The 18,975-nt window shown below is 38.3% G+C and overlaps 1 protein-coding gene and 1 long non-coding RNA gene across 28 annotated transcripts in view; one reads left to right on the top strand and one right to left on the bottom strand.

Moving 5' to 3' along the window:
- Window positions 1–18,975, top strand: part of TARID (TCF21 antisense RNA inducing promoter demethylation) — a 386,755-nt gene that overhangs the window by 345,728 nt on the left and 22,052 nt on the right. Inside the window, exon 6 of the long non-coding RNA NR_109982.1 lies at window positions 5,921–7,499. This is a non-coding gene — a long non-coding RNA (TCF21 antisense RNA inducing promoter demethylation). The remainder of the gene's footprint in view (window positions 1–5,920; window positions 7,500–18,975) is intronic.
- EYA4 (EYA transcriptional coactivator and phosphatase 4) overlaps window positions 11,151–18,975 on the bottom strand; it is a 291,536-nt gene continuing 283,711 nt past the window's right edge. For 10 of the 27 annotated variants that reach the window (XM_047418278.1, XM_047418282.1, XM_047418288.1 and 7 more), the window contains 2 exons: window positions 18,164–18,264; window positions 11,151–14,554 (listed from right to left, as the gene is read on the bottom strand). In XM_047418278.1, coding sequence (XP_047274234.1) covers window positions 14,474–14,554; window positions 18,164–18,264 — 182 coding nt within the window. In that variant the 3' untranslated portion in view covers window positions 11,151–14,473. Of the gene's footprint in view, window positions 18,265–18,975 lie in introns of all 27 variants that reach the window. The other 17 variants (XM_047418279.1, XM_047418286.1, NM_001301013.2 and 14 more) reach the window with 3 other exon arrangements.

Here is an 18,975-nt window from a genome sequence, read left to right as displayed (position 1 = left end):
TGGCCCTCCAGCATGTATCCAATATTGGTTTATTAATACATGCAAACTCCTCACAACAGGCATTCACAATCCTTCCTAATCTTTTCTGCTGCCTTCTTCTGGAGCCTCAGCTTCCACTACTCTAGGCAAATTAAATGTTTGCCCCAGGATAGAGTTGCCAGAGACAATGCAAAATACCCAGCTAAATGTGAATTTCAGATACACAAATAATATTTTTGTTAGTAAATGTCCCAAATATTTCATTATTTACTGTTTACCTTAAATTCAAATTTAGCTGGATGTCCTGCATTTGTATTTGCTAACCTGGCAATGAACCCTAAGAAGAATTCCAGGGAGCAGGCCACCACCCCTTTCCCTGCCCACATTGCCACTGCCCCTTCTAGCAGGCATTCCCTTGCTTGAGTGCCCAGAACTGGTTGAAGACCTGCCTCTTTCGCCCAGATGGTCAGGCCCTCCTTCCTCTGCACACACACACTTCTTTCTTCAAACTCCCACCTAAGGTGAGAATTGTCTCTGTGCCTGTCCCCTCATCTACTCTCCACCCCCAGGCAGGATGAGGGGCAACATGATGTCAGGAGCTGAGTCTTAGTAGTGCCCAGCACACCGGGGCTCAATAAACGCTTGGGAAGTGACTCAACCGCACTTCCTGAGCACCCTGGCTGACACAGTGAAGCAGGACCATTACCTTACTTTTCAGTAGAAAACAATAGGAGCAGAGACAATATGAAAGCATTACCCTTTCTGGAACATTGCCAGCACGCTCATGTCTCCCCATTCCTGAGGATACTGTATCCTCCAAATACAGTGGCATGCTATTTTTGGATTTCTTCTATCTTACAAAAAAATACATTTTTTTTTGTTTTTATTGTTATTTGTTTTATTGTTAATTTCCTTTAGAGGAACCTCCACAGAAGGCAGACTCTTTAAATATTATCTCATTTAACTCTCACAGCCAACCACAAGAGATGGGTAATGGTTAGGGATGGGAAGTTTAAGGCTCAGTGAGGTAATTACCACAAGGTAGCAAGAGTGCTCTCTTGCTACCTGGATGACTCAGGTACATCCTACTCTGAATGTGCTCTTTCCAATTGACTGCGCCGATTCATCTCACTTTTCAATCTGTTTGCGTCAGTGCCAGCTTCATCCTAGAGGGAGGCGGCCAGCCTCCAAAGTAGCCCCAGCGATCCCCTGCATCCTGGTATTAACATCCCATGTAGCCCCCTCCCACACTGTACCATGCTTGAGCTATATGACAAATGGCATATGGCAAAAGGTACACCACTTCTGAGGTTAGGGTAAAAGACTGCAGCTTCCATCTTGGGTGCTCTCTTGCTAGCTTGCTCCACCTCTTCCTCTTGGATCTCTTTTTGTGAAAAGCAAGCTACCATGCTGTGACTATTCTCACGGTGAGGCCTATGTGGCAAGCAACTGAAGACTCCAGCAAAGAGCCAGGGAGGAACTGATTCTTGCCAACAACCACTTATGTGAGCTTGGGAAAGAATTCTCCAGCCCATCAGGACTTGAGGTGACTGCAGTCCTGGCTGATACCTTGATTCTAATCTTCTAAGAGACCCTGAGCCAGAACTGTACAGCTAAGCTGCTTCCAGCTCCCTGACCCTCTAACGCTATGTGAGATAATATATGTTTGATGTTTTAAGCTGCTACATTTTGGAGAAATTCATTATGCGGCAATAGAGAACTAACACACAAGGAGACAAGTAATCCTCCAAGAGGTTTTCTGATAACAGTTGCGTAGAAGAAAACTTCAGATGTCTAAAATCACACTATTTAGCCCACTGCTTGCCTCAGCTCCTGAGATGATGATGGACAAAGACCTTGTCTTAAGGTGGAATACTGGGGTCTAAGCCTTGCTTCTAATGTATCAACTATGGAGAGAAAATCGACTTAGGGATCTTTTTTACACCATCTAGCAACTGGGGAGCAAGCATTCCCTCTTAAAGCCTTGACTCTCCCCAAGGCGCTGGTGGGTGGTTATTTATGGTTATTCTGAGTTATTACTGCATAACATCCACACAGGCAGTTAGCACAGTATTTATTGAGCAGCCTTTAATGATGAATAGAGTGAGAAACACCAGGCAAAGAATATGGTAATAACAGTACATAAATTTTATTTTCATTTAGCATGAAAACACCTGATTTCCTTCAACACTGTAAACATGTCACATTATTACACAGTGAAAGGCTGATGAATTTAAACATTCATGTGTACATTGTTTTGAATGGAAAATGTACTTTCATTCCACTTGCCTCCACCATTACAGATCATTTTGTTTTATTTATTTCACTTTAGCTTGTTTTAATTAAAAAAACAAAATCCGAGGAGAGAAAGTAACTAGAAGGTTTTCTCAGGATGGGATTGGTTATTTTCAAGACATTTGACTTCTTATTCTCCTCAGAAACAGAGAGACAGCCTCAGAATAGAACATTTTATGGTCAGAGTTGGCAAGTACCTCACGGTTTGTAGTTAATAAACATGATTAAACTAAATGTTCAGAAGGAAATTTTGCTAGACCATTTTTTTAAAAAAACAAAACACAATGAATGCACTCATTAATTATGTACAATTTTGTCATTGGGTAAAGAAAGAAATTTCAGGCTAGGAAGGCAACTTATTCCTAGACATAACGTTAAATAAATACGTGCCTTCAAACTTGAATTATTGCCCTGTAAAAAGACAGACAAATGTCTCAGCAACAGCTTCATTACTGTCAAGCTCATGATTTGTTGTTCCATTGACATGATGATGTGCTTTCTAGCACTAAGGTCTTGTCTGTTGTTGCAATAGAAACTCTTATTTTTAGAATTTATCATTTAGTTATTTAAAAAAAAGTTATAGTTGATCAAAAAGCATGGTAAATAAGCTCTCAGTATGCGTGCCAGTATGGGTGTATTGGAGTTACATTAGAAATGGGAGAAAAGGAACACCTATACACTCCTAACTACTACGCTAGTCCTGTTAAGCAGAATGTTGGAGGCTTAACGTGATTCAGCAGTGCCCTTTCTATTTAACACATTGCTTGCCTATGGGTGGAACTGTCATAGGTCAGGGTTATAGGTCACACATTTTTCCAAAGAAGAAAAATTAAGGAGTGGTCATAGGATGTGGCATCCTATTCACTAAGTGAGTTCTAAATTGCATTTCACAGATAATTTGATGTGGTTATGGGATGGCGCTGGAATGCAAGAAACAGATGGAGCACTGCAATTCTAGTCCTGGATATCTGTGTTCTTAAGAGGTGTGGCCAAATCGCAGGGTGACACAGAGTGAGGTGCCAGGATTCATCCAAAGCACCACAGTTTAGAGGGGAAAATATTTTAAAGTAACAATGTTAAACTATTGTGAGACATTTGAAGCCCCTTTCCTTATAAATAACTATCCATCTCTTCCTAGTCTCACATGTCTTGGCCACTATATAGCTGGAAAGAGCAGAAGACCTAGGGAATAACACAGTCAGGAGTCCCAAACTCACTTTTTATAATTTGAGTAATCGACTCCAACATCCTTTCTTCTTTAACATCTTTTATTCTAATCAATCCTAAGCACTGACTAGAGGGCATGCTTTGAGCTGCTGGTTCCAAGAATTAACATTTCCAACTGGACATTCATGCATACTCTCTTGACCACAGATGACAGAAACTAAAGTCAATCAAGTTCAAGGAAAAAAGAATAAAAAAGTTTTGGGCTTACAAAACTAGAAATTCCAGGCATGGTCACTGAGTTGAAGTTCTGTCTCCTGACATCCTAAAACCAAATTCTCTGACAGCATCAACAGGGCATGGGTTCTGAGCTGTTTCCCACATGTTGGCTTCATATTCAGATTCTCTCTCAATGTGGTAGGAAAGATGGTTCTGGCATTTTAGGCTGACATAGTCACCAGAGATCCTAATCCCAGAAAGACAGTGCATCTTTCATAATGACTTTGGAGAAAAGTCTTGGGGTGAGTTTTCATAGGCTTAGCTTGGGTCCTGAGCCCATTCTTGGGCAAATAAATATGACAAAGAGGGTGGAATATGTTGATTGGCTAGGGTTCAGCCATATGCCCAGGAGTATGGTGTTCCCTAAAAAGAGGGATGCTTTGTATACACACAAAAGTCAAGTTTACTATGGAAATGGTAACCCAAGGAATGGGAGAAAATGTCTGCAAATCTTGTATCTGATGAGGAGTTAATATCCAGAATATACAATTCAACAACAACAACAAAAACAACCCAATTAAAACATGGGCAAATGATTGAATTGACATTTCTCCAAAGATATACAAATGGCCAATATGCCATAATCATTAGGTAAATGCAAATTAAAACCACAATAAGATATCACCTCACACCCATTAGCATGGTTACTATAAAAAACAAACAGAAAATAACAAGTGTTGGTGAAGATGTGAAGAAAAGGAATTTTTGCACACTATTGTTAGAAATGTAAAGTGGTGTGGCTGCCATAGAAAGTATGGCAAGTATGGTAGTTCCTCAAAAAATTAAACATAGAATTACACAAGATCCAGCAATTCCACTTCTGGGTACATATCCAAAAGAACTTAAAGCAGGGACCCAGTTATTTGTATACCCATGTTCATAGCATCATTATTTGCAAGAGCCAAAAGGTAGAGGCAACCTAAATGCCCATCAATGGAAAAATAGAGAAACAAAATATAGTATACACACATATTATTAGTCAGCCTTAAAAAGGAAGAAAATTCTAACATAGGCTACAAAACAGGAGAACCTGAAAGAAATTTTGTTAAATGAAATCAGCCAGTCACAAAAGGACAAATACTATATGATTCTGTTTATATGAGGTACTTCAAGTAGTCAAATTCGTAGAGACAGAAAGTGGAGGAGTTGCTACAAGGTACTAAGGGGAGAGGAGAATGGGAAGTTATTGTTCAATGGGTAGAGTTTTAGTTTTAGAAGATGAAAAGAGTTTTGTGGATGGATGGTGGTGACAGCAGCACAACAATGTGGATGTACTTAATGCCATTGACTGTACACTTAAAAATGGTTAAGATCGTTACCTTTATCTGTATTTTACCACAATAATAAAAAAAAAAATCATCTCCACTAGGCGGAGGTTGCAGCGAGCTGAGATTGCGCCACTGCACTCCAGTTTGGTGACAGAACAAGACTCCGTCTCAAAAAAAAAAAAAAAAAAAAAATCATCTCCACTATAGAATTTCAGAAAAGAGGTAAACTTGGCTACATAGCTTTTCTCCACTTACCCTTTAGGAACTTGCTTCTGAACATCTTCCATTCAGATACTCCTAAAATCATAAATCATGCTGACTCAATGCTCCATCATGGTTTATTTTTCCTATATTAGGTGGCCCCAGAACCTTCCTAATTCCCCACTCTAATCAGAAGCCTGTCCAGTACCCTTCTTGGAACCATGCTGTAGGTTAGGGAGCCTGTAAGTCTGTTGTATTAAGAGCAGTTGATATGCATGCTTAAAGGTGTTTTAAAAGGGAGGAATCTGCAAAATGTATCTTAACTTAAATGCAAATTAATTGAGCAGCTTTAATTGAATAGTTATCTCTTGGGCCTTCATATAGGACTGGATATAATTCCAATCATCAAGTCAAATAATCAGCTTAGGGTCCTTTTACTGCTTATCTGCAGAACTAACATTCCTACTACATAAAGGCCATTTCTCACATAGGCAACACAGGAGTTACTTGGATGGCAATTATATTCACAGAGAGAAAAAACAGTGACAGTTAACTCCATTGCTTGCAATCTCACCTGCTCTTGATGGCACTTTCCCTCAGATCATACCCCTTCAAGTGCTAAACAACTCAACTGAAGTCAATGGACAGAAGATATGGTGCAATGAGCCTATTTTGCAGTCCAGATAATTTCCACCTAATGGACTAAGTTCCAATTCTGTCTGTGCTACCTACAGGTTGTATAATCTTGGGAGGTCACTTCAACTATACAATTGGACTAAGAACACTGACTCTCGTGGGTGTTATAATTAAATCAGGTAATATATGGTAAGGTAAGCATTGATTAGTCTCTTCATTAGTTGATTAGCCTCTTCAAATGTTAGTTTGATTAGTCTCTTCAAACGTTAGTTTCCTTCCTCTTTTCAGTATGCTCGCTGAAAAGCTGGCTACAGAGCGAGTGACTGAATCAAAGCATCACATCCTACATGCTCCCATTCCCCATCTTGCTACAGTGGTACCAGCTTCTGTGCCCAGAAGATGGTGCTGTGGTTGGATGAATAAAACAATTACAGGGCCTTCAAGGATAAGAAGAAGGAACATGGATAAATATCCCCATTCTGCCTAGACAGAAATAAGAAAAACATTCCCTTTTCTCTTCTTTAAAACGAATTCTTGAGTCATGCATGGCAACAATATGTGTTGCCAAAAGTGGCCAGTTTGTGGTAGTAGGTTTTATTCAGAAAATCAGTGGGTGATGAAAATTTAGAAGATGCACTCATCATTTGTAAAACTGTAGATGAAAGTTTAAAAGATGATGTTATACCACTTTTTCTTCACTGCCCTCATCAGTGGCTCCATCCCACCCTCCTGCTGTTCTCATAACTGATGTAGAAATAATTTCATGAGCCAAACAGGATGGTTTTATACGTGTGTGTTTGGCATTAACTTTATTTCCTATTCACGTACCAGATATTACTGCCCGCTCTTATGAAATAGTTTATTCCACCATAAATGTATGTTTTAATGATCACCACATTTTTTTGGAATACATTAATCTGTCTAAAAATAGGTGATTAAATCATCTGTCATTCTGCTGTGAAGCTCTTTAATGTTTTCTTTGGGAAATAAATTAGAATGCCATATTGGTTTCCAAGCAGACATAAGCTGGCGATGACTTTTTTGTACAAAAGTTACTGATGAAAAGCTCATAGAGGCATTTGGATTTCTTCAGGGTTGTAAATCCAGGTATGTTACTACTTTATCTACTGGAAATTGGGGTAATGCAGGAGATGGGAAAGCATGATGTTAAATCAACTGGTGACCCCAAATAATTTTCCATGGTGTTCATCAGCCATGCACACACTGTATTACTGTCATCATTCCTAGCTTTTCCACTATGCTGTCTCAAGTTTGCACAAATTGTAAGTGATTTTAAATCATTAACTGATGTGACATAATCAAATTACTTAGGGTTTTATTTACTGTGCTCCGAGTAATTCAGTTATGACTTGGCAAGGTATTTAACAGACAATAGTGAAGTTACTACAAATTCAACTTTGCATTGGACAACTCCATTTGAGGATACCACCACCTTCAAATTAACAATTCCAGAAACTGGTCTCAGTATCTCGTTCCAACAACAAGCATCACCCACTACAATAAAAACAGCAAGTAGAATCTTTTTACTTCTTTTGTGTTTCTCATCTCGGCAAACTGCACTACAATCTACCAAACTGCCCGAGCCAGAAACCTAGAGGTCAGGCTGGATTTTCCTGAGGACATGAGGTGAAGAAGCAACCACTGCGAAGTACTAAGGTATTCTTAATACCCTAATTTCTTTGAATCTATGCACTGTCTCATATTCATGCCCATCACCTAATTCAGGAATCTCTCCAGGATCCTGCACCAGCCTCTTAGATCCCTCACTCTCCTCAGCCTGGCCAGAGTAACTATTATAAGATATAAACTGGGACACATAAATCCTCTGTTAACAAACCTTTCATTCAGTACCTACTGATACCCGAGTAAAACTGAAATTGGTTGATGCTGTATTAAAAATCCTCACCAAGTGGCCCTTGTTTTTTTTTCAGTCTCATTTCTTACTATTCCTTTTATTCACTCCATGCTTCAGAAACAAGAATTACTTGCAGTTCCCTGACTACACCATTCTACCCTTCTCCCTCTTACCTGCATTCTCTTACATATTTTCCACTTTGCTTATATGCTTCCAATCCAGTCCTGCAAATGCTCTGGCCTTCTCGGTTTTGTCCTTGGGGCTTCAGCTTTGGACTCATTTTCTCCAAGAATCTTCCCTTTAAGGGCTGGTTAGGTTTCTCTGCAAGTGACTCACCATGCCCCTGTGCTTATCCCCTGCTAACACCCTTCATTCGTTATCTTAAGAGTCACCCCGATTGAAAAGCATAAGAACCTTAAGGGTCAGGACTGTGATGAGTTTAGGGTCAGCAGTACTCTGCTGTGGTTCTGTGGAGGATGATTTACTTGGTGGTCCCTCTACCTTTTCCAGTACACCCTCTTTCAATTCTATGTATTTTCACTGAAGGCTCACCAGAAAACTAAAATGGCAGCATCATAGCAGACATAAGGCACACAAATCTAAGATTTCATGACCACAAAGGACAATGCATTGCCCTTTAGCCATAGAGACACTGTCCCTGCAAGCTGCAATCAAAAGGCATTTTGTTGGGAGGGAAAATAGTCATCTGGCTTATATGGAGTTATATGCATTGTCAGAGATCCTTTAGCATATTACATTTGGAGATCTTTCAAACTGTGTGCTAACACAGACCTGGAAGGTTCTGTGGATGAAGGAAAAGCTAAGGAATAATGGCTACTATTTCCATTGAAAGTCAGAACTTGGGCACAATGAACATTTTCCCCTTGAGGCTCTGAGAGGGCATCTTTGTTGATTGCAGTATATCTCAAGAATTGACTCTGGCACAGTCAAATGTAGACTGCTTTGTGTAGCGACCTGTGTATTAGCACACATGCATACTTTGCCAGAATTACATCCAATAACTTTTAAAGAATATACAAAACCATGCAGAGATGTTAAATAATGGTTATTAGTCTGGGTGCAGTGGCTCACACCTGTAATCTCAGCACTTTCGGAGTCTGAGGCAGGAGGATTGCTTGAGTCCAGGAGTTCGAGGTTACAGTGAGCTATGATGGTGCCACTGCACTTCAGCCTGGGCAACAAAGCAAGACCCTGGATCAAAAAATAAATGGTTCTCTTTTGGTAACTAAACAACATCCGACACTTAAAATTTTTTTTGTTGTTGTTTGTTTCAGGGACTCAGAATCATGAACCACAGTTTGCAGAGAGATCTGATTTTTACATGTTTGTTTGTGTGTGGCTTTAAGTAATGTAAGTCAATTAAGCCTACTAATATTGCATACTTTTTCTTTTATGAAAGGGAAAAAGGGAGTATAAAGGAGGCAATCGCTGATTCATTGTAAACGTTTTTTATCCAGACGATCATTCTCAGGTCACATACAACCTTTCTTCAATTACATCTTTGCTTATGGCCATCCTTGTTCTTTATTTCCATAAATTAGGCCAGCAAATACTCCAGCTAAGGTATAAAAACTTACACAGGTCCTGTGTATGTTTTCTTCTCTCCTTTTCCCTTTCAAATCTAGCTCGATCATTTCTTTTCTTTTCTTTTTTTTTTTGAGACAGAGTCTTGCTCTGTCTTCCAGGCTAGAGTGCAGTGGCGTGATCACAGCTCGCTGCAGCCTCCACCTCCCAGGCTCATGCGATCTTCCCGTCTTGGCACCATGAGTAGCTGGGACTACAGGCACGCACTATCACATCTGGCTATTAGAAAAAGAGAGACAGAGAGAGAGACAGGGTCTCTCTATGTTGCCCAGGCTGGTCCTGAACTCCTGAACTCAAGTGATCCTCCCACCGGCCTCCCAAAGTGCTGGGATTATAGGAATGAGCCATCACACATGGTCCTCTACCACTTTAAATCTCTTCAATTCTAGATCATGCTCATGCAAGTGTTTTCCTGAAGTTTATACATTGTAATGGATGAATCAACAACACAAAAAATAAATGTGTATCATGCTGGATTAATCTAAGAACTAAGTATTTTTTCTTAGTAAAGAAGGAAAATGCTAGAGGTGTTGGGAAGCAGGTGCAATTTCAGAGAGGAGGACCTTTACAGCAAAAAGGTGTTCTTTAAGAACTGAAGAAACCCAGGGCATAGGTGATGCAAAGATCTGGGTGAAAACCTTTTCAAGTGGAAGGAATGGTGAGTGCAAAAGGCCTGCAGCAGGTGGGTGGGTGCAGGTATGTGCCAAACACGGAGGTGCCAGTTTGGCAGTGAGTTGTGAGACAGAGGAAGGGAGAGCTCACCAGGGATGCTGCCTGTGGGCTTACAGGCCATTGCAAAGGTCACTGGTGTTTGTGCCAAGCGAGCTGGTGGTTTCCAAGAAGAGGAGAGAGATATCCTCTGATGCACGGTATGTTTCTGGCTAGTGTGATGAGATGGTGAAAGGGTGTGAGGGCCAGAGAAGGGAGACTAAGCTAGAGGCTGATGTACTTATCTATGTGAGAAAGGATGCTGGTTTCAGCTGGGGTGGTAGTCGTGGGAGAGGTGAGAAGAGGCCGGCGCAGAAGCACAAGCTCAGATTTGGACATGTTGATTTGAGAGGTCGTTTCTTCCAAGCAGGTATATAAATAGGCAAACAAGATACATTTGTTTGGAGTTCAGTGGGGAGCTGGAATACGATATGTATAATTTAGTCTTTCTCATAAATTCAATTTCAATGGCAACTGGATATAAGAGAAAACAAAAGAAGTTTACATATTAAATTTATTTTAAACATTTCCATTGTTTTCCTGTAAATCAGTATTGATTTTTGGATGGTGTAAGGCTTACTAGAATGTTGCCACATAGCTCCACTTAAATACCATTAATTTGGAGGCTAACATTTTTAAAGGTTGTGAATGAGCAGAGGTTTATCTGAAATTTGCATTTGGTTTACATGTGAACAACAGATTCACAAATAAATAAATACTATACACCAGACAATAAAGGAGCTATTAAATCTGTTACAGAAAACTACCTTTTTATCCTCTTGGAAGATACTTATAAACTATGTCCCATATTCACGTAAACGATACTTGCTTTAAATATTCTAATAGGTCTAAATATTTTAATTACTTTATCATTAGTGAATTGTGGCTACATTATGCATTATACTTACTTGAATGTAGCTACCTGTGTATAAAAAATTATGCAACTGACATCTTTTCAGTAAAGCAGCTCACTTTTAGTCATAATTAGTGACGTTTTACTGTGTTACATCTCATTTTGCTTTAACTGGAAATTATGCAACTTAGGCATAAAAAAGAAAAGTTATGAAGACCAGAAACCTAAATACAAATTTCACATGATTTAGAACCAAGCTAAATAAACACACAAAAACTCTACAACATGGGAGGGTGAAGGAAATGAAAACAATTGCAAAGGTATTTATTGAGAAATAGTAAAGATATACATATTTTTACAAGCTTTTAATATTAATTTACATTTCTTTTAAATTATGTAGGCCCCAATAATCTATACTTTACTAATACATAACAGAAACCCTTGACATTGTGAGATGTCCATAATGCTACCGTAGTTGGGAGTCAAAGTGCAACTTTGGCTCATGATGCTTAAGTTTGTTTTCAAAAGAAATACTAAATGCCATATTCACTGAGAATGTAGGCTTGTCATAAACAAATGTGCTTTAAAAAAAACAACTTCATATAGGAGCATGCTGTTGACACTATTCTGAATCTTAGCTCATTGCGGACTAAGGAGAAAACATTTTTAGAGACAGTTATTACCTACTTGTCGTGTGCAAACTGTATGATTCTAAAATATGTTTTTGCCTCTGAATTTGATTTACAAAATTTTGCAGGGGCATAGTGTCCTAATTGTATGCTATAATACCATAGCCAGGCCACCTATTTTGTTATGGAAATTACATGGTCTTGATATTTTTAAGGTGCAACACAAGGTGGTTATCTTTCGTAGTAATATACCAAGCTGTATACATAATAGCCGAAAACCCACTTTAGTTACAGAACATTTTTCAAACTGGTTTACAATAAGGCACAATATTCCATATGTCAATAGGAGGTGGGAACTGCCAAGGGGTTGGTTTTGTGTTTGTTCAGTTTTCGTTTTTCAGATTAGAAAGGAAGAGGATTTTCTATTCCTAAGGTGGGAAGGGAAGAGTTCTAGTTTGTGCATACTCAACGTCCCATGGCCAAGCTGTGATGCTGGCTCGTGGGCCTGCACCATTGTTGTGCCAGACAAGCTGTTCTCCGTCAACCTTGCATTTAGGTTTTATGCCGGCAGCCTCTTCTGAACACAGAATCAGAAAAAGAGATGTGTGTGAGAAACTGCACGGGGTGATGCAACCAGCCGGCTTCTCTTTGCCCTTCCAAGGGGTGTTTCTTTCTGCACCCACAGACTTAGCAGCATAAAAAGCCTTGCTTGTTTGATATGAAAAGACTTACAAATTTAGATGTAATGCCACAATTCTATCAACATTTAAAGAAACCAGCTATACAGTAAAGATAATTTGTTTTTATTCACAGTAATAAATATTTAAGGTTTTAGTGCACAACATAATTAAGTACTGATAATCAAGGCAACATTTAAATTTTTTTAACTGCTATTTTCAAGCTAAGGGCCAACAGAAGTATAAGATTTACTATCATTATTTTTATATTATTAAAGGTATTCCAACTTTAATTTGCCTGGAATAGTACTTGGGGCAGATGCAGCCAAAAGCTACAAAATTTAAAGGATTAAGTTTAAGGTTTAGATAATGAAATCACAATCTTGTACAAAATTGGGATCTCAATATCTTTCTACCCAATATAAACATGGCCTTAGCATTCAGTAAAGAAATACAGGTTTGTAGCCTAAAGAAATGAAATCATATTTCCACAGTGAATGTTGTGATCTGTGAGCAAAATGTAGACTTTATTGAAGCCACAGAGGCCTCAGTTGATGAACTCATGAACCAGCCTCTGGCTAGGGGCACTGACTAGTAGCCTGACTCCAGGATCCACATTATGACATTTTAAACACAGAACTGCAGGTGCAGACACCATAAAAATACTCTAGTTCTTAAAGTCTTAAATTTCCACAAGGGAAATCGTGTCATAGGAAATAAGAGGAGAACCTGTATCGTGTTCCCAACATGGGCTACACACAAGGAAAAAAACCATGCAAACACAACGATGATGGGCTCTTCTTGTAATGAATGCCATCCGTTGCGCAGTGACAATACAGGCAGAAACTAACAAACATATGCAAGTCTGTTACGAGGAGAACCTGCATTGATGTATTCAGATGGAGAACCAGGTATTATTTTACTGTTGTCATTTCAGCAGCGCTGCCAAGATCCAGCGCACTTGCTAATTTAATTTATGATGATATTCTAGGTAAAATTTTCATAGACTCATTGCTTTCATTAGACACCATCTGGGAGAACTGCCTTCCATTTCTGATGATATTATCATTTTTGCCATGGCATTGGGAATAAACATACTTAGCTTTATTTTAAGCCCTGTGCACTCAATGTGAATTTTATGCCATGTTCATGGCACATTCTAAAAAAGTTTATGTGATAATTGCTCATGATTTGCATGATAATATCCTCCTCTATGCAACTTACACATATCAAAAGTCTCAACCTCAAAACTGTGCAAGTTGTCATGAATATGGCTCTTAGTTTTCTCCAGTAAAACTGTAGAAGGGGTACTTGAGACTTCTACATACATTTCACTTTCTAAGTAAAGGTCCCACAGTCTTTCCCAAACCTTCCACTCATGGTTGGATGCGCAAATAGTTGCCTCATACAATTATTGGAATTATTAAGAACCCAAATGAAACACAAGCTTTCCTTTATTATTGTTGTTTTCTTATTGCAAAAAATACTCAGTTTCTTGCTGATGCGGTAATTAAGCTCTGAGAGCTTGACTTTTAAATTTGGTCATGTTAAGAATCATCACAAAGGTTTTTTTTTTTGTTTTTTTTCATTATCTACAGAGATTTTAACCAAAGTTACATTGTAACACACAAATGCTGTCTTGTCTTTAAGGCACAACACATCAGTATGAACATTCTGTTTGCCAAACTTAAAAAAGAGACAATATTATATTCCCATTTCCCCTCCCATTCCCCTCCCCAACAAAAGAAAGAAAAATTGCATCCACTTTGAAAGTCAGCTGCTAATAAAGTCACAGTAAATTATTTTCATCAATAATTTACACAAATTACATGTCTAAATAGGACTGTCCTTATACAGTCTGAGTGCATTCCAATTCAGATTTTCTGGGTTAGGTAGGCTAAAGTCAGATTCAAACCTCAGGGCTGAGAAGATCTCCCATTTTGAGGAATGTTGTTGACCACCTTGTCAGACGGAGCATGTGTGTTGCTGCTTTGCCAGGGTAAGAGTTCTTTGCTAAAGCTGCTCATTCCAGTTTGGACTCATTTGGTGTGTACCAGCAACCTCCACAGATTTTTAAAAAACCCATTAAAGTGTTGTAAATATAAGACCATAGAGTTTCTTTTCTGTAGCACTAAAGTTTAACTCCATTCAGCAATCTGAATTCTTCATTCTGGAATTTTTATTCCAAATATGATTTCATCCATTAAGACAATTTATATGTGTAGAGCCAGAGGCATTGAATCACACATAAAAATTCAGTGTACTTGAAATATAAAAAATGGATCTCCGGCTAAAGAACACAGTTACAAATACTCTAATTCCAGTGCTTGGTGGAGAGCCAGGAGGTCTGAGTGACTGGATATCCTCCAGAAGGGCATGTTGTGCTGTGTGGTTAGGAGAAGGAGGGATGGGAGAGAGAAGGGGAAGGAATGAGGCATGGAGAGAGATCACAACCATTGTCTCAATGAAGCAGCAGCACACACAGGGATGTGTGGTCCACCCAAGTTCAGGGGAGAGAGTTTAAAGGCGGGATGATCATATGTGAAGGCTTGGCAGCACCAATATGGCACTGTCAAAGTAACAGAGAAATAGATCTGAACTGGATTTTAATGAGAATAATAGCAAATATTAACATTTCTTAGATAGTTTAATATTTATTCTGGAAGTATCGCTACCAACATCAACATCTGGGAAAGCAAGTGGGCATCAAAATCCTACCTGGCTAATGGAAAGCAAGTTTTAATCAGTGCATCACTCCTACGGGCCTCTCAATTAAAAATAAAATGAAACAAAATGACAAACTTCTTAATTTTGTTAATCTAGGAAGAAAAGAGGGTGAATTCCTTTCTGTATAAAAATAATTTGAAGCAGGACTACATAAAGTAGAAAAAAAAGGTGGGGATTATAACTTTCTTACTTGTCTGGGACAACCAATAACTTAAGCCAGTAGAGTCGACCTGATTTATTTCACTGGCGTAGAATTGAGAGAAAGTACTCTAGCATACATTTTCAATGGGGAAGATATCTCCAAAGGGACACAAATGAGCTCTTGTGGGGCAGAAAATCTTAGACATTACAGTGGTTTGTGGCCTTCAAAAGATATACTATAATAGTATACAGTACATATGTGACATTAAAATTTCATGAAAGGGAGTAATTAGAAAAAAACTGTCTAAAGAGTCCCCACTGGCGATGATAATGAAAAAGAAAAAACACTGCATTACAGGAACTGACAAAACAAAAGCATGATTTGTTAAGTTTGGGCTGATGACATCTTCTAGAATATGTACGTATAAAATATTCATGTATATAAGGGAAATGAGTATATAGATATAAAACATGCAAAAGATATTTTATTTAAGAACTAAGTAGCATAATAATCCTTATTGCTATATAATTCCTTGCTGCACACTATGGTAGCCACCAGCCACATGTGGCTATTGAGCACTTGAAATGTGGTTGGTCCAGTTTAAAATACACAATGAATTTCAAAGACTTAGGACAAAACAAACAAACAAAAAAGAATGTAAACATGACTTCAATAATTTTTACATTAATTAGATATCAAGACAATTATTTTGGGTATACTGGGTTGACATGTTATTAAAATTAATTCTACCTGTTTCTCTTTAATTTTGTAAAATGTAGCTTCTAGAAAATTTCAAACTACATATACAGCTTGTATTAATATTACATGTTTCTATGGAAGAGCGCAGCTAGACATTCCTATTCCTAAACTTTGATATTTCTTCTTAAATTTCTCAGACAAAATATGTCTAGGTCAAATTAAGTCACTGAAATTCACATAGAAGTAACATTTTTTCATTCAGCTCAGATCTATTTGTAACAACAAAACAGTACTTAACATTTCTGCACATGCGATTACCGCTACATCCAAAGAAAAGCATGCATTCTGGGTACTAGAGAAACCAATCACCTCTGTTTTAAAATAGAATAATAAGCCTTCACCATCACCAAAACTGTACCTACATAAACAACCATTTGGAAATAGCATTCTATCTGAGATTGTTTTCCATTCAGGGTTATGCGTTTCCCTCCTGAAGTTTTAGGTATAACAACTGGTAAACCGAATCTAAACATTAATGCTGTGGAAAACAGGTAGACTCGGCTAAGTTTTAATTGTCAAAAGCATATTGTGTTACTGGTTTGGAAAACTGAATTATATTAGTCCTTACCTAAATATACGTGAATTTAATTTGCATAGGCTAAAAGACATGTAAATTTAGCAGGAGTGGGGCTGTATTACTAATCATTGGCTGCTCTTTGTTGTGTATAACTATGGTGCCAATAAGAAAAATCACAACATGGACTCAGGACATTGACAAACTCCAGAAGATATTTCAGTTCAGTGTGACTGGAAGCATTTGAAGTAGTAGTCAGCAATGAAAGCCGTATTTCTTGAGGCTGCAGCCCTGACCTCATACAGGACGTGCTTGGGGCTAGTGTGCTGTCTTGGGTCATTGACACTGCTAATGAAGGCTGAGGTGTTCTGTGGCAGGCAGAGCCTGAGCCTACTCTCTTAAATGTAATCGAAAAGCAAGTATGGCTGCCAATACGTCACCAAAACTTCTAAAGTGGAAGTGCTTTCCTTTTCTCCATTTTGCTTGATTTAAATCGACTAGAAACATACATCATTTCCTTTCTCTTTCTCTTATAGCCATAAACTTTTCTATAAAACTGTCTATGTTGACTGTTTTTTGAAAACAGGTAAACATTCCAGCACATGCAAATGGCAAAGGCTTTATTAGATGATGATTTAAAATCTCCTTAGGGTGATACAGATGACATTCTTTCTATGTAAAACAGTATAGGCTGGCATGTCATTGTTTTAAAAATACTAATTCATCATCTGGCTTTGTTTTGTAAATTCTATCACTTTTATCTTGGGTAGATGATATTTTTCTATCATTCGGTGAAGGCAGCAGTAGATCTTAGGGTGGAGTTGACAGTCTGGTGGTGGGGGCCAATCCTGATATCATTCTTCTTTTGATGTTGAACCAACCATTTAATGGTTTTTAATTGCCTTGGTTTCTTCTTCAGAAATACGGGCCAGATGAAAAGGCTTATTAAAATACTTAGGGCCCATGGGATCTTCTGAATGTGTTCAAAGCCAGCTGCTTGGCTTCAATCAAGTACCACTGGCTCACCAAAACAGATGAAACTCTTCTAGGAGATGTGAGGCACATTACGGCTAAGACAAGTTGGTGCAAAAGGATCTGAGCAATACATCCCATTTCAGTAGCACTTATTAAAATCTCTTGTAGCAGTTTTTCTTCAGCTATTAAATCTGCCCTCAGCATTCCTTATCATGGAGCATGCCTACTTCCAGGCACTCACGAGGACCATATGGCATGCAGGTCTCATGAACTACTCACATGACTTTTGTATGGAGCTCATTAATCTCTATCTTGCTAAATTTCATGTGCTTAACAATGGTTATTCTCCCCCCCAATCTTTCTTGCAGATCCCCTGGCTCATCTATATCTGTGCACATTGTATGTGTATTAATATATACATATGCATCTATATAAGCATGTGTATACATGCCCACACAAATATATATGTTACTATATATATTTACTATATGTATATACTTTCAAACACATAAATAAATATAACTAAATTTCCCTGCATTTCCTATCAAATTTCAGGCAAAAAATGCTAAACTCCAAATGGTTTATTTGAATGTAAGTATTGACCCTCTCATGCTCTTATTGCTTTGCATCTATAAATTTAAATCATTTGTCAAGCTGCCATTGGGCCAAACTACAGAAATGCAAACAAAAAGGCTTGCATTAGAAGTATCACACCGACATTGTTTGAGACAGGTTACCTTTTTTGCTGCCTGTTCTTCTTCTACACCATCCCCAATTACAACATACACTACTTTTCTGCCAAACCTTTGCATTATTCGTTCAAAGCAACTTTCTTTTCCTGGAAGATAAATGAGATAAAGTTCAGAGTGAAGTTACCTGGTTAGCGGCATGCTCCTCATCTCGGCCATCTCCAATCACAACATAAGTTATGTTAGTGCCAAATCTGGACACTATACGCTCAAAACAGCTTTCCTTGCCTGAAAAACAATGCACTGCTTATTCTTCCAGCCACTGCATTCATTAACCTAAAGATTCATAAAGTGTTAAGTTAATGCCTCTTGAACATCACTTGAACTGGCTCACAACCTCTGGGTTTATGAAATCAACATATATTTGAATAAGGTAAGGCGTTACTTCGGACAGATGATTAAACAAATGTGTTTCACACTCCAAAAACATCAGTAGGGATAAGCATTTGACCTAGAGAAAATATTAGTATGTTTTTCTCCACCAACAGAGTATTGGGGTAACTTTACAAGCAACTATAAGTTTTAACCTTTGTTTAATTCTGTAAATCAATTTTAAGTAGCATAGACAAGTCAGCTAAATGTGTTCTAGAGAAAAACTGAAGGTTCACCGCTAAAAAAAGAGGAAATACTAAGAAGTGAATTTATCTTGATAAACAACACCTTTCTTCAAGTGGGTGAGAGTTAGCCTGCTCAAATAACTTCTGCTAAGGGTGCTGTCTGACTGGGCCACAGTACTGACAACACTGGTATCCTCTTATTGCACTACGGGAACATCACCGTGGAATTTCTACATATTCTTTGTTTTTAAAACATTGGCATTATTCTCTAAATTTCACTCCCAGAATGTTCATGCAGCCATGGCTACTTCTGCCTTTTTTCTTAATCTGATGGTTCAGAAGTCCAAAAAATACTAGCTTAATGGAAAAAATAAAAATGATT

Source organism: Homo sapiens, chromosome 6 (genome assembly GCF_000001405.40).
Source record: "Homo sapiens chromosome 6, GRCh38.p14 Primary Assembly".
NCBI lineage: Eukaryota > Metazoa > Chordata > Mammalia > Primates > Hominidae > Homo > Homo sapiens.
The sequence above is the reverse complement of the archived record's forward strand: the minus strand, read 5'-3'. Positions and strand labels throughout refer to the sequence as shown.